Below are 15,875 nucleotides of genomic sequence, written 5' to 3'. Positions count from 1 at the left end.
CTACGAATATGGTGCAGTGTATACATGGGTGATGGGTGCACCAAAATCTCACAAATCACCACTAAATAACTTACTCATGGGCTGGGTGCGGTGGCTCACGCCTGTAATCCCAGCACTTTGGGAGGCCGAGGTGGGTGGATCACGAGGTCAGGAGTTCGAGACCAGCCTGACCAATATGGTGAAACCCCGTCTCTACTAAAAATACAAAAATTAGCCGGGCATGGTGGCACACGCCTGTAATCCCAGCTACTCAGGAGGCTGAGGCAGGAGAACTGCTTGAATCCAGGAGGCAGAGGTTGCAGTGAGCTGAGACTGCACCACGGCACTCCAGCCTGGGTGACAGAGTGAGACTCTGTCTTAAAAAAAAAAAGAACTTACTCATGTTACCAAATACCACCTGTACCCCAATAACTTACAGAAATATAAATAAATTTTCTTCTTTTAGTTCACCTGAATTTTCTAAATATATACAAAGAACATGTTTTATCTTTACACTAAAAAATGTTTTTAAACAAGTTTATTGAGATATAATTCATATATAACTTACCCTTTTAAAATACACAATGGTTTTTAGTATAGTCATATCACCACAATCTAATTTCAGAACATTTTTCTTACCCAAAAGGAAACTCTGTACTCATTAGCTATCACTTCTCATTCCCCTACTCCTAGTCCTAGGCAACCACTAACATACTTTCTGTCGCCTTGAATTTGCCTATTCTGGACATTTTATACGAATGGCTTTATAATAATATGAGGTCTTTCTGACTGGCTTCTTTCGCTTACCGTAATGTTTTTAATGTTTACCCATGTTGTAGTATGTACTAGAACTTCAGTTATTTTTATTATTAAAGAATATTCCATTGTATGGATATACCACATTTGTTATCCATTTATCAGTTGATGGATATTTGGATTATTTCCACTTTTTGGCTATAATACTGCTACAAATAGTCATATTTTTTATGGTAGCACTGAAAATGAAGACAGAATATTAACACAGAGATGAATGATAGGTCATTTTAACTGTCTAAATAAGCGATAAGAGTGTTATCATTGATTGATGGGCATTTGGGTTGGAAATAGCAGTGTGGGCCATGAAAAGAGATATATTTGGGAGGTAGCATCATCAGGTCTTGGTGACTGGCTGAATATGGAGAGTAAGAGAAACAGAGAGTCAAGGTTGTTTCTTGAGGCCTCTGGCCTGGGCATTGAGTAACATCATACACTGAGATCAGACATACAGAAGGAGGTGAGTTTCCTTCAGGCATGTGGAATTGCCTGAAGGAGTATTGGTGGAGACATGTGGAGCTTGGAAGAGAGGCCAACCAGAAGGCATACGAATTACAGTGGTAGCTTGATGAGACTGTCCAGGGGAGCACGAAGATGGAAAACCAATAGTCAGGAGACAGAAAAGGGAAAAAGAAGCCACAGAGAATGAGAGAATGAGAAGCCAAAGAATGAGAATGTTCTATGAGGAAACCTGTCTCATTGTAAAATGCTGCAAAGTAGTAAAATGGATTATAAGCAAAGTGCGAAATTATGGAGTCACTTTGACAAGGTGAAACATTAGTCAGAGATCAATAACTTGAATGACTTGGCCTATGCTCAAGAGGAGATACAGAGATGGGAGGGGAGAGAATCCAAAAAACAGCTGCGCACATTTCTGCAGTCCTGCAAAGGACTTGGGTTAGTTCATGAGAACTGAAATACAAACACGCTCCATAAACACATGGTCATTGCCCTTTTAATAACTTCCTTTTGAAAAAAATTAATTTTCCTGACTTATGAATTAGCCCTTGTTGTTTCCTTACCACCATTTCTGATACAATTATATAGTTGTTTTCCTGTTGGTTCTTTCTATCACGGGGCCTTTTTACAAAAGTTATATATGTCATTTTCAGAAAATGTACAAAATATATGGAAGAGAAAGAGCAAGAGGAGACTCAGACACCACCTGTAATTCTAACACGCAGGGATAGTTATCATTAATACACACCTTGGTTTATATTCTTCTGGACCCAATTTTGAGAAGTCTATAACAAAAGCTCAGTCTTCTGTTTATTGCCTCTGCTAACTTACATAGAAAGGCCTATCCTGCTTCCATATCAATGTATCCACCTTTATGTCCTTCTGTGATTTATGAAATTTCTTTTTTTGAATTTAAATACCTTATTTGTCTGAAATGTATTGTGTGATATGGGATGAGGTAGGGAATCTATTTCTTCTCTCCAAATGGTTGGCCAGTTTCCAACACTATTTTTAAACTAATTCTTGTCCTCTCCTCATTGCTTTGAAACGTCACATTAGCACATGTGGTTAGAGTTAAGGTTAACACATTCTAAGTTTTTACATATATAATTGAGGGGAAGAGGGTGGATCCTCCTGCTTAAGGAAGTTTTAATTATCCCAGTTGCTATAATCATAGAAAAGCAGAAGCATAACACAAAGATACACACTCAAAAACTGACCACTTCTAAAATTAGTCTGTACTCAAATATCCTCCTGCATTTAACACTAGAAGAATCTCTGCCTGCTACCAACATTTTATTGGTTAATCCCTCACTGACTGTAGGAAATTACTGCAAATACAACACGAATTGGCTGCAGAGGAAAACTATAAATCCTGCAAATTATGCCAAGTTTAATGCAGTTAAAGTGTTACTGGAGAACTGTGCCTGTCACACGCAAGGCCAGTGAGCAGTGAAAATCTGGCAGTCAGTTCAGTTGACAATAAAGAAAAGAAAACTGACAACAATGATGACATGATAGATGTTTCTGATGAAAATAACTTGCATATCAAAGGACTAAGAGAGACTGCTAGGAAAACAGATCATGCCTCGGAATATTTTTTCTTAAAAGGACCCTTTCTGTAAAGGTGCCTGTAAGGCCAAAGTTGAGTATGCACTATTGTCATTCACTTTTGCTTAATAATGAATAATCTGAAAAGGCAAATGTTACACACTCTTTCTTTTTAAAAATTTCCTGTTATAAGGACAATGGCTGCACTGCAGTCAAGTACAGCCCAAGGTACACACCCGGCACAGCATGACACAGCAGGATTGGAGTGCAGGTGCACAATCCTGTGCATTATATAATCATATCTACGTAGCCATAACATGGGAGGGCTCATCACCTGGCTCTGAGCCACTATTGTCTGGGAGGTGCATAAATGCAGCACCAACAGTGTGAGTGAGTTGCTGAATAAAGCCATGTCCCACCTACCTGTGGTCTCTCAAGTGTTCTTTCAGCTACCCACTACCCCATCAATTCCCCTCAGACCTCAGCTTGGGCTGGAAACTCACACCTGTATAATCTTATAATTTTATTCTTCTAATTGAACTCTAGAATCCTTTTGTCAAGTTCTCCCAAGTTCCTTTGGGATTTTACAATAGTATTCATTATTATTAGTAACAGAAGCTCACACTTAGTGAGAATTTGCTATATGTCAGGTACTTGCTAAGCATTTTCCATGTACTACTATATTTAATTTGGCCAACAAATCTATAGTGAAGTATCATTATTTTTCCTACTTATAGTTGAGAAAACAAAGAAGTAGACAGACTAAGTAACTTGTTCCATATCATATAACTGGCCAACCTAGCTATGGAACCCATATACTTCTGATGAGAAGTCCACTTCACAATAGCATTTTCCCATTTTGGAACTCACTCCCTTTTTTTTTTTTAATGTCAAGATAAAGTATTGTATTCTCTGTAGGAAAAACAGGCTCAGAAGCCATTTTTGTATATTTAAGTCATCTAAATCTCCTTAAAGAATGACTTCAAACTTATAAAAATTCAAAATGTAAAACCAACAGTTAAATCATACTGACAATATGAAAGTAAACACCAAATGTCTTATTGAGCATCTAAGTGAGACCTGGAAGAATTAAATTTAAATTCAGTTGAAATGGGCCAATTGGAAGTAGCTTCAAAATAATATCAAATCCTTAAGGCAAAAGGTCATTGACTCAAGTTTTAAATACTAAAAAGAATTTAAAATCCCTCTCTCAAAAGGCTAGAATAGACATCTTATTCACATTTATACTCTGTATTCAGATTCATACTGTCTTTTCTCCCATCCACTTAATACAATAAAGATGCACAAAATGCTAATTCCTGGGTGGTCCCTACCACATCTCAAAATGATAACTTTTTCAATCCATATCTATGAAAATATATGGATTATATAAGATACCTAATCTTATTTATCAAATCTTCTTTGCTTCCTTTTACTCCCTCCTCTTGGCTTCCTTTTAGCCCAGGAATCTGGCAGTGTGAAAGAAAATACAGCTGAAGCTACGGCCCATTATGACATGTGAAGTCATTTGATCACATTAAGAGAATGTTCACTTGAGGCACCTGATCAGCCTGGATTGTCTTTACACCCCTTTTCCTTGCCCAGCTTTCTATGCCTGCCCTGCTGTGGTGCCTACAGCATTTGCTCTCCAAGCTTCTATCTGATGGGCCGTCACTTATCTATATTATTTCTTAGGCAAAGCATCACCTAGTTGAAATTAAGTTTAAGAAAAGCATAGAGGTGACAAAAGCTCCAGTGTTCATGAGGTTAAAATGATAAGTCTTCAAATATCATGAGTTAGGCCCACTCATGTATACATTAAGTTTTGCATATATGCTTGAGAGGTTCAAATCTTTGCTATAATTAGGGCTATTGAAATATTGCCCTAGATACTGAGGTTATAAAAGGAAGCCTCCTGCAAAATACAGCAAGTCTTTTAGTCCTAGGCAGCTGCAGGGAGAAGGTTGGGAACATATATGCATGAAAAGGCCAGATAGACCACTAAATCACTTACACTCAGATTTTTAAAAAACACTAATCAGGTGGCCCTTTGTGACTTCTGCTCTAAGAGTAGAATGCATACAGCTGAGACTGGAAAATAGATATTTAACGAAAGTAGATTCCTTACAAGCTATATTCACCAGCAGAAAGATGTGAACACCAGAGCTACAGATGAGAGAAATAAATTTGATAGCTCTGCAACAACAACAAAAAGTTCACCAGAAAAGGTTAAGGGAAAAACTGATAGAGAATTGGTAAAAGTCAAGCAAGAGAAATGTAAGGCAAAGAAGTTCATAAGGTAATTCCCACTGGGAAAGATTTTCAAACTCTGGACGCCAGGGAGGATGTTGTCACCATGGCCTTCGCTAGAGCAAAAAAAGGGCACAGCCAAGGTGCTGGGCTCATAAAGTCATGAGGCTAGAAAAGACCAAAGGTTTTTTATTCTGAGATGTTTATCCATCTGCAATTTAATAGGGAACATGGCAAAATTACACACACTCCTGCCTTTTAATACTGAACACTTATTCACTTCACCTTCTTAGACCTTCGTTACCTCAGCTGTTAAGTGAGGGAGGTGAACCAGACGATTTTGAAGGTCCCAACTAAATCTTAAAAAAAGATCATCTCTGCAAAAAAAACTTTTATGCTTATTCAGTAATCCAGTCCTTTCTAATATGCCACTTTGTATATTCTGATACAACTACTGGAGCTAAACCAACATTGTAAACTGCACAATTACAGGCTTGAAGCAGAAATAACTCCTCACAGTATTTCTTAATAAGAAATACTCATGATAATGTTATCATGTCACCTTTGGACATAATAAAAATTAAGCACAAAACAAATATAAGATAAATCTTTAATATATTTCTCATAGCAAAGAAAAGAAAAGAGACTGTGTGAAACTATTTCTGCCCTTTTCCTTTCACACTGCTAGACCAATTTAAGTGGGGTGGGGGGAGGCGGGGGGCGGGGGGAAGGCCGAATCACAGAACAGCTTACACAGGAGGAGGCTCTGGTTAAAAACAAATCTGTACCACTGTGGTCTGTGTGGTCTAGAGGGAAGCACAGTGGGCTGGGAGATTTGGATTCTAGATCTAACCCTTCCAGTAACCATGAAACCCCAAGGCAAGAGATTTCAATTTTCCTGCCTCCATTTTCTATTTGTAAGACAGCAATAATTCTACATGTCTCTTCTACCTCAAAAGTATGCCAATACAGAGATAAAGCATGGGAAAAATCTGAGTTATAGGGAAGAAAAGTAGTATAGGCAATAATTAAGCATGTTAATGACAACAAGTGCTGATTTAACAATTTTTTAAAACCTCACTATTCTGATTAGATCAAGACAAGTGGGAGGGAGAGCCACTCAACCACAGAGTGGCAAGCGGGTCGTCGGCAAGTAAAGGCAAGGCATTGCGACTGTGACCCTGATTGCCCATGCACACAGCCTGAATCTCTCCAACAGAACGAACTCAGCCAGGCCAGGCATAAATCTGACTGATGGCCCGCCCTGGACTGTGAACAAACACACTGTCCATCTTTCTTCTTTTCATTTCTTTCTCCCTTCCTTCTTTTCCTTCTTTCTCTGTCCTTTACTTCCATACATTTAAAAACTTTGCACAGAGGTTTTAAAATGTTCCACATCCTAGATACGGACACAGCCCTTAGGTTACTTACAAATCTAGTTATTTAAACAAAAACGACTAAGACAGGGATTTGAGGATCCCTGAACAGGAAAGCTCAGACAGGGACCTGAGAAGAGAATTTGGGGCTGCTGCAGCCTGAACTCACAGGTAATCAGCCAATCAGATGGGCCATCCCATCCCTCTTCAAATTTTTTTTCTCTCTCTCTCTTTTTTGTAAAATTAATGTATCTGCCCTTTTCCCTCAAGTCTCCTTTGTTTTTCCTGTGGGCAAGCAGGGAGGGAGAGTCATAAACTGATACTGATTATAATGAATAGTTTTCATTTACTATCTCATTAAGCCTAAATATCTCTTAGGAAAACAATCCTGTAACAGTGGACAGAAGATGAACAAGTGGAACAGTTAAGAGGGTGTTACAGGGCAAGATAAAGAGGTTCTAAATGAAGGCAAACAATGTCAGAACTATTTCTCTATAGAAAAGCATTTCTATTATAAAAGGCCAAATAAAAAATATTATTTGGAATAAAGTTGGCTTCTACCTATGTATAGTTGAGGTAAAGATATTCAAATCATAGAATATAGAATCCATAACCCCAAACCAGCTATTTTTCCACCTCTAAATTTAAAGGCTGAATCATGCATATATCCATAACAACGATAATAATTACAGCTTAAATTTTTTGAGTGTCTCTGTTCCAAGCATTGTGCTAGGTGCTTGATAAACTCATAGGGCCCCAGCGGCAGGGCAAGCGTTATTACATTCATTTTTTTAGGAAGACATGAAGACTCTAGAAAAGAAAGTAACATACTCAGGGTCATATAAGTAGTAATGGATAAAAAGAGGCAGGATCCAAGCATTGTTCTGTCTGTCTCCACAGTCTGTGCCTATTAGATCATGCTATGCTGTCTCCATGTTTATCTTTTACAATTTCACTTGCATTCCTTTTCACTTCTAGGAATGCTGAGTGAGGGGGAAAAGGAAGCAACAGCAAGACTACCAGAGAGGGAATGGGGGCGGGGAAGTAAAGAAAAGGCATGTAAGAAGGAAGAAGAGAAAACCACACCACTTCCCACACTGTGGTTCTTGCTGTAGGAGGAAAGAGATGCTATAGCTGCTGCATCAATTAATTCATTGATGTAATGCTCCTTGCTGCTGCCACAGAGAGGCTAGGAAGAGGGAAACAGGAGTTGGGAACTGCTGCGCCTAAGAGACCTGAGGGCTGCACGACTGACTGCTCAGCCCCTATGACCATGGGAAGGACAGCCCTGGGTGCCCACGACCATCACTGACTGCCCATGGAGGGGCAAGTGGAATCTCTCTCCTTGCTGGCCCATGGGTGCCTGGGCTCTGAAGCCTGCTCACATCTCTTGATCCTCATCTTTCACTTTGTCTCTTCCCCCTTATTCTGATGACCACAATCCAAGCAAACAGCAGAAGAGACTGGACTCATCTGGATTACATTAGTTGCTTGTATCATGCTATTTACATTTACGAAATATTGTATCGCGAGATCACATTTAGTAAAACTTTTTCTTAAAAATAGTTTATCTTCTAATCCACTTTTTATTAGTTAGAAGCAAAACAAAATGGATCATATATTTAAAAGCAGAGAGAAGAAAAAAGACATACCATTCTGGAAATGTCTAGCAAGCAAATATCTCAGGGATATTTATTCAAGGGGTTACCCTGGGATGTCAGAGGGGAAACGTGAAATCAATTTTCTTGGCTATCATCACTTTAATATGAAATTTAAACCCCAAATACAACCACAGGCACATTCCTCTAATTTAGGAGAAGTACAATTGTGATTAGGGAGCATGGACAGAGCTCTTACCTGGCATGACCATGGTCTGTGGGGCTGCTGCATCGGTACTTAGGCAGAGACGGCCACCTTTGGATAATCTATCGCAGAGCAAGGTGATATGTTTCTTCAGTTGGCTTGTGTCTTTGGGTATGTTCAGCTGGCTGTTGAGGTTCAAAGCCTGCTCCTTAGAACTCTTCGACAGGCAAGTCTTCAACAGGTGGGAAATGGCGGCATCCACCGTTTCTTCCCAGCCCTGGATACAAAAGCCAATTTTGAATTAATACAAAGATGACAATAAGAAAAGTGGGCACTTGATGTATTATACAGATTATTGAGTGTTTATGTTCAAGTGTTGGGAACCTGTGAAGAGTGTGGTATCTGGAATATTCCAGACTAGGCTGGTTTGGAATTCTGGCTCTGTCACCTGTTTGACCTTGAGCAAGTTACTTAATTCCTCTTAGCCTCATCCTCATCTACAAATGAGGATGTTAACAGTCTGTCCCTCCAAGGGTTGGAGATCTATGAGAAGGGTTTAGCTCTGAGCCAGGCATAGAGTAATGAGTAACAACAAAAAGAGTATCAGGCACACGTCTGTTTAATGATCTGGTGGGTAAAGCTGCTAGGATTATAGTTTGTTTTGCCTTATCTTTCTTATCTTCGGCTAAAGGAAAGCGGGCCAGGAGAAGGAGGACCTTTGGATACCCTGGGGGAAACTGGAATGGAGGGAAAACCCTGGTGTCTCCCTCAGGTACTGGTTCCACAGCCTTGGGGTTATAGGCAGAAACAAAGGAGCTATTGCAAGAAGGATCGTGTGAGACACAGGGCCTGCCTAGTACTGCTCACTGTCCAGGTGACGGTAAATGACCCACAGGAAGTAGGCCATTGCCCCCACTTTTGTTGGGAACAGTGTGGCTGCGCTGCAGTGAAAAACCTAGAAAAGTGCAGTGACAGCTGCAATTCAGGAACGTCAGCACAAGGCAGGGACCTCAGCATTGTCATGGAGAGCACTGGCACCAGCAGGACTGGCATGGGGAGGCACCACCCTCAGGTGGGTTCAGCTAACACTGGCAACAAGGAGTATGAGGTAAAGAGCAGGAGGGGTCAGTTTAGGAGCTCCCTTTAGGCATCCCCAGAGGCTCCCAGGAATAACTGGGTAAGATCTTTGTGGGGATCTGGAGGTCCTAAGAAGCAGAACAAGGAAGCAAAGCATGAGTGAAATCTGGGTGTTGCTGTGAATGTGACTCCATCTGTACACAAAGGCTGGTAAGGCCTAGAGCACCATGGGCCTGACCATCCAATACAATTATAAAGAACGACAAGAAATGAATTTATGATCATAGAATACTGCGGAACAGTGCAAGTCCCTTATATTAGAAGTAAGAGCCCTGAGACTCAGAGAGAAGGTTCATCTGGAACCCATCATTCCATCCTCAAACTTATCATTTGAGCCACCATTCAAATATGCAAATCAGATAAGGTTACTCCCAAGCTTCAACTATGATATGGTTTGGCTGTGTCCCCACCGACATCTCATTTTGTAGTTCCCATAACCCCACGTGTCATGGGAGGGACCCAGTGGGAGGTAACTGAATCATGGAGGTGGCTACCCTCATGCTGTTCTCGTGATAGTGAGTTTTCATGAGATCTGATGGTTTAATAAGCATCTGGCATCTCCCCTGCTGGCACTCATTCTCTCTCCTGCTGCCCTGTGAAGAGGTTCCTTCTGCAATGACTGTAAGTTTCCCGACATCTCCCCAGCCATGCAGAACTGTGAGTCAATTAAACCTCTTTTCTTTATAAATTACCCAGTTTCAGGTATTTCCTTATAGCTGCATGAGAACAGACTAATACAAACTCCTAAATTCAAATGGTCAGACTGGCATTTAAGGAACTTTCTGCTCCAGCTCTTGCTCCACTGTATTCTGTTCCCATCCACCTGCACCCACACTGTCTCTCCCTTAGGCCTCTGCACATGGCCGTCGCTCATGCTACAATGCCCTAACCTCTATTCTTTAGCTGGCCAACTCCCATTTAATGACTTGCTCAGGCATTGCCATCCAAGGGTTGATGGGTGGGCCCTCTTTGGGGCTCTGAGACTTCACACACCCAGATGCATCATAGCTCTTGTCACCCTGTGACGTGGGTGCTGTTTGCATGTCTGGTATTCCCTGAGAGTGACTGGAGTTCTCCACATCCCCACACTGTTCTTGGTATACAGAGGATGGTCAAGAAATATGTTTGCTGCACAGAGATGGTGAGATATAAAACCAGGGCCTTAAAGTTGGGAGAGCTTTGGAGATCTTTATGTCTAGTCTCGTGGGGGTTTTCCCAGGATCATTTATACAACGGCAACCATCTGCCTAGGCATAGCTGTCTTCAAGATCCAAAATCACTACTTTTTGAGGCAGTTCACTCCTTTCAGGGACATGTGTAACCAACAGAAAACTATTCCCGCACTGAGCCAAAGTCTACCCCATTGGCCCTTCTTCTACCCTCCAGAGGCATGCAGAATAAATCTAACCTCTCTTCTACATGACAGCCCATTTTATCTGTGGAGACAGCAATTCTGTACCCTCTCCTCCAGAATAAACATCCTAGTTCCTCTAGTTCTTCCTTATATAAACTGAGTTTCAAGTTTTTTCTCCATCCTGACCACTCTTCTTTGAATGAGCTCCAATTTGAAACACTTAAAAATTTATACAGCTAAATAGAGAACCCCAGACTGACCCCAAAACACTGGGCTGCGGCTTGGAGTGTAGGTATCCCACAGCCCTCCCTCCTTTTTTCTAGGAATTCTCCTGCCAGCCTGGCCTCCAGTTGCCTCTGCTCTCTTGGCAGTTGGATTACATTCTTGATTCACATTGAGTGCACTGACACCTAAGCCCCAGGTCTTTGCCACACTTGCCACATCTCTTCTTCTAGGTTTATGAGGCTCGCTCTCTCTGTCTCCCTCTCTCTATTGAGACAGAGTTTAGCTCTTGTTGCCCAGGCTAGAGTGCAATGGCGTGATCTCAGCTCACTGCAACTTCCTCCTCCCAGGTTCAAGTGATTCTCCTGTCTCAGCCTCCTGAGTAGCTGGGATTACAGGCGGGTGTCACCACATCTGGCTAATTTTTGTATTTTTAGTAGAGATGGGGTTTCACTGTGTTGGCCAGGCTGGTCTTGAACTCCTGACCTCAGATGATCTGCTTGCTTTGGCCTCCAAAAGTGCTAGGATTGCAGGCATGAGCCACCATGTCTGGCCCTGCAGTTGGTTCTTCAGATCAAAGTGCAGACTCTACATATTTCCACTAGAGAACTTCCCACTGATTGCCATAATGGGTTAATCGGGACTTTTCACTCTATTGGCCCATTTCTATTGACCCACCTGTAGGTGTCACTAGGCAAGTTAGGAAACAAGTAAATGATTTTAAAGTCATCTTGAAAATCCTTTCAACAGATTCAAGAGACCTAAAAGACCATAAAAACAGCTTCCTACCCCAAATCACTAAAGAATAATAAACACTGGTTGTTACAAAGACATCTCTTTACTACTACCAAAATCTAAACTAGACTAATATCTAGAATTGAGTTTGAATTTCAGTAATAATGGGAAGAGATAAATGAAGACAAAATAGTAACCCAGACATCACTGGAGAGGGCATGTTTTCAATTGGAGCCATTGACAAAGACCTCTGGAGTAAAGAAGAAAAAAATCCTTTGAATATAATTTGGCATTTGTATGCTCTGCAGTCATTTCAGCATTAAAATAGTTCATACTGTCATTCATTTAAGCAAACTACTGTATCATAAATAGATTACAGTAACATATTAGATAATTTAAGTAGATATGACATTTAGTTAATACAGAGTACTACAGAATTTATTTTCCTGATGCCAACTTGCAGATCAAGTCAAAAACCATGTCATGTTTAGGTATTTGGCATGGTATATTTCTTTAATATAGATGAGGCATGATGCCAGTACTTTAGAAAGATTGCCACTAAAATACAGAGTTATTACTTGGAGGGACTGAATTGCTACATAAATTCAAATATAAAACTAAAAGGAATATCTCTGAGACAAAAAAAGAGCCTTTGAGAGTTTTGTTAAATAAAAATACAATGTGATAATTCACTGATCAAACATGTAGCATACTTACCTATGGAAATATGAAATAAAACTGTGGAATCTAGAATCTCAGGTGTGAGAAGTACCTTAAAGGTAAGCTATTTTAAACACCTTTTTGGTATTTGAGCTCATTACCTTTATTCATAGCCCTTAAATTGGTAAGGCTAATGTTCAGTTTTAATGTCTAAATACATACACATACTACATGCACATACCTAACCTTTATCTTTTAAAGATAAATATCAATCATACTAGTATTTTTGTCTTATATTGTGAGAGTAAAAGAAAATCTTAATTTGGGAAATATAGCACTAAAAATTTCTGGAAGGGAATTGGGCATGTGCTCTTCAGTGAGAAATGATTTTTGTTATAGTCCTCAAATCCACAATTTGCTGTAAATTCCAGGTTGACCTGTGTATGGCTTTTAGAAAACAACAGCGGTGGGGGAGTGGGAGGCAACTGGGGAAGGGAAGGGGATGGGAGAGGAGGGGAGGGAAGGGAAGGGAGAAGGTGTTAGTTAAATGTGCATGTTACACTACTTTATCTTTTCCACAGCCCTTGTCGTTATTGGAAATTAACTTATCCATTGGGTTTTGTGGGGATTTTTTGGTTTACTTTGTCTAGTCTAGCATTGATAACTGGGTTTTCCTTTGTTTCCAGACCTTGGCTTTACCCAAGTCCTCTACCAGAGCCCCTGCCTTAGGAGCCTGCTGAAAGTGTCACTCCTTGATAGATAGCTGCCTAGCTTCTGCAAGATCCCTCCAAGGAACCGGACTCAGGGGCCGAGGCCCTGCCTGCTACCTGACTTCTCCAATGCCAAGTTGCCTGCTGTATGCATCCCCCAACATGGCTGCCCAGTCCCCTGTTTCCACATCTTACCAGCCTGTGCAGAGGCTCCTACAGTCCATGCTGGTCCCAGATGCCTTTGTGTACCAGTGTGATTGCTGGTGTGCCCTTTTTCTGTGAGCCAGCTCTTTAAATTCAAGGACCTGGCCTTGCCTAGTCTGCTCCTCCTGACTGAATTCAGCTGAGCTATGCTTCTTGCTATCCAGAGACCAGAGAGCCACAGCTGAATTTCTGACTGCTTTGCTTTACTACCCTGCTAGTCTCCACTGGTCAATAGGCCTAAATACCAGATCAAGCAAGTGGCTTATTAGAAACAGTAAGAAGCAGAAAGTTTGACCACACTTGTAAAGTTAATTTCCTAGGGTATCGACCAAAGTAACCAAAGCACAAAATAAACTAAGAAAGTATTCCCATGCCACCTGTGAATCAAAACAGTTGAGTTGATGATAGCTGTCCCGAGGCTCCTGAGTTCTGACTTAACCTCACTCACCTCATCTGCCCCTTCACTGTGTGAGCTTAGATAACTCATTTAATCTCTCTAGGGTACACGTGAGGTCTCCACAAAACAGCAATAACACTATTCATTATGCCAAACTTATATAAGTGGTACGGCACTCTGAAATCTTAAGTGGAAGAGACTATGAAATGAGAAAATATATTCAATCCTACTTTTTTTTAAAATCAGAAAATAGAAGTATGTAATTGAAATCTAAATTTCCAAGTAATATCCTTAAACTTTTTTTCAAACAAATTATAAACTCCTACAAACCTATGTTTATAATAGAAACACTACCACATCCTTAACTACAGTGGTATAGGGAAAAACCACAAAATGCCACAGTAACATTTATTACCAAATGTGTACACAGTTAAACCTAAGAGAGAGAGAAAAGGTTAAAAAACAAAAACAAACAAACAAAAAACCACGAGACCTGTTAAAAGAACAAATGGAGATTTTGTGGCAGGAGTCCAGATTTCAAGTGAAAAGAGAAGACTCTCAGAAATGGCCCATGTTGCATTGCATATATGAAGGCGAAACAACCTTCATATCATATTCATTTATCTTAATAACAAACTGTATTAAAGGGAAAAAAATTTCCTCTTCAATAGATGTAAAGGATGCAAAATGAAAAGTGTTTGGTATTTATAATTGATCCACAGAAGATTATGGTTATTACTTTGTATCATATTGTATGGAATTGTATTACATTATATCTAAATACTTATTAGATTATATCTAAATATTATATCTAAAGCTAATCGTATAATGGGTTATTGTAAACCCCAGAACAAATAAAACTTGGTACTTTAGTTCTAAATTAAATATCTTGGAAAGTACAGGGCCTTTTCAGGAAACATCTAGGTTCAGATTATTTCCAAATATTATTTGCTTGACTGTAATCAGTGAAATCCCCTTGTCATGCAAAGAGGGCTCAAAATGTTGAGCAATTCACCTTTGAAAAATAAAACAGCCCGAGAGGAGGAGCCAAGATGGCCAAATAGAAACAGCTCCGGTCTACAGCTCCCAGCGTGAGCGACGCAGAAGACGGGTGATTTCTGCATTTCCATCTGAGGTACCTGGTTCATCTCACTAGGGAGTGCCAGACAGTGGGCGCAGGTCAGTGGGTGTGCGCACCGTGCGCGAGCCGAAGCAGGGCGAGGCATTGCCTCACTTGGGAAGCGCAAGGGGTCAGGGAGTTCCCTTTCCGAGTCAAAGAAAGGGGTGACGGACGCACCTGGAAAATCGGGTCACTCCCACCCGAATATTGCGCTTTTCAGACCCGCTTAAAAAACGGCGCACCACGAGACTATATCCCACACCTGGCTCGGAGGGTCCTACGCCCACGGAGTCTCGCTGATTGCTAGCACAGCAGTCTGAGATCACACTGCAAGGCGGCAGCGAGGCTGGGGGAGGGGCGCCCACCATTGCCCAGGCTTGCTTAGGTAAACAAAGCAGCCAGGAAGCTCGAACTGGGGGGAGCCCAACACAACTCAAGGAGGCCTGCCTGCTTCTGTAGGCTCCACCTCTGGGGGCAGGGCACAGACAAACAAAAAGACAGCAGTAACCTCTGCAGACTTAAATGTCCCTGTCTGACAGCTTTGAAGAGAGCAGCGGTTCTCCCAGTACGCAGCTGGAGATCTGAGAAGAGGCAGACTGCCTCCTCAAGTGGGTGCCTGACCCCTGACCCCCGAGCAGCCTAACTGGGAGGCACCCCCCAACAGGGGCACACTGACACCTCACACGGCAGGGTATTGCAACAGACCTGCAGCTGAGGGTCCTGTCTGTTAGAAGGAAAACTAACAAACAGAAAGGACATCCACACCAAAAACCCATCTGTACATCACCATCATCAAAGACCAAAAGTAGATAAAACCACAAAGATGGGGAAAAAACAGAACAGAAAAACTGGAAACTCTAAAAAGCAGAGGGCCTCTCCTCCTCCAAAGGAACGCAGCTCCTCACCAGCAACGGAACAAAGCTGGATGGAGAATGACTTTGACGAGCTGAGAGAAGAAGGCTTCAGACGATCAAATTACTCTGAGCTACGGGAGGACATTCAAACCAAAGGCAAAGAGGTTGAAAACTTTGAAAAAAATTAAGAAGAATGTATAACTAGAATAACCAATACAGAGAAGTGCTTAAAGGAGCTGATGGAGCTGAAA

The 15,875-nt window shown here is 41.1% G+C and overlaps 1 protein-coding gene across 19 annotated transcripts in view, besides 1 other annotated feature; it reads right to left on the bottom strand.

Moving 5' to 3' along the window:
* The window catches only part of BBS9 (Bardet-Biedl syndrome 9), a 506,483-nt gene that overhangs the window by 93,306 nt on the left and 397,302 nt on the right, over window positions 1–15,875 (bottom strand). For all 19 annotated transcript variants that reach the window (NR_145412.1, NR_145411.1, NR_145413.3 and 16 more), the window contains one exon: window positions 8,286–8,508. Coding sequence is in view for 16 of the 19 variants with exons in the window: in NM_001348036.1 (NP_001334965.1) it covers window positions 8,286–8,508 (223 nt within the window). In the remaining 3 variants the exon portion in view is untranslated. The remainder of the gene's footprint in view (window positions 1–8,285; window positions 8,509–15,875) is intronic.
* Window positions 12,687–12,908: a silencer, noted in NCBI's record as "fragment chr7:33569166-33569387 (GRCh37/hg19 assembly coordinates)". NCBI's record gives its function as "represses an EF-1alpha promoter that drives an FKBP-Casp9 reporter gene in an ReSE screen in K562 erythroleukemia cells {active_cell/tissue: K562}" and the evidence as "EXISTENCE:reporter gene assay evidence [ECO:0000049][PMID:32094911]".

The sequence above is a fragment of the Homo sapiens genome, chromosome 7 (genome assembly GCF_000001405.40).
Source record: "Homo sapiens chromosome 7, GRCh38.p14 Primary Assembly".
NCBI lineage: Eukaryota > Metazoa > Chordata > Mammalia > Primates > Hominidae > Homo > Homo sapiens.
This window is presented reverse-complemented; position numbering and strand designations above follow the sequence as displayed.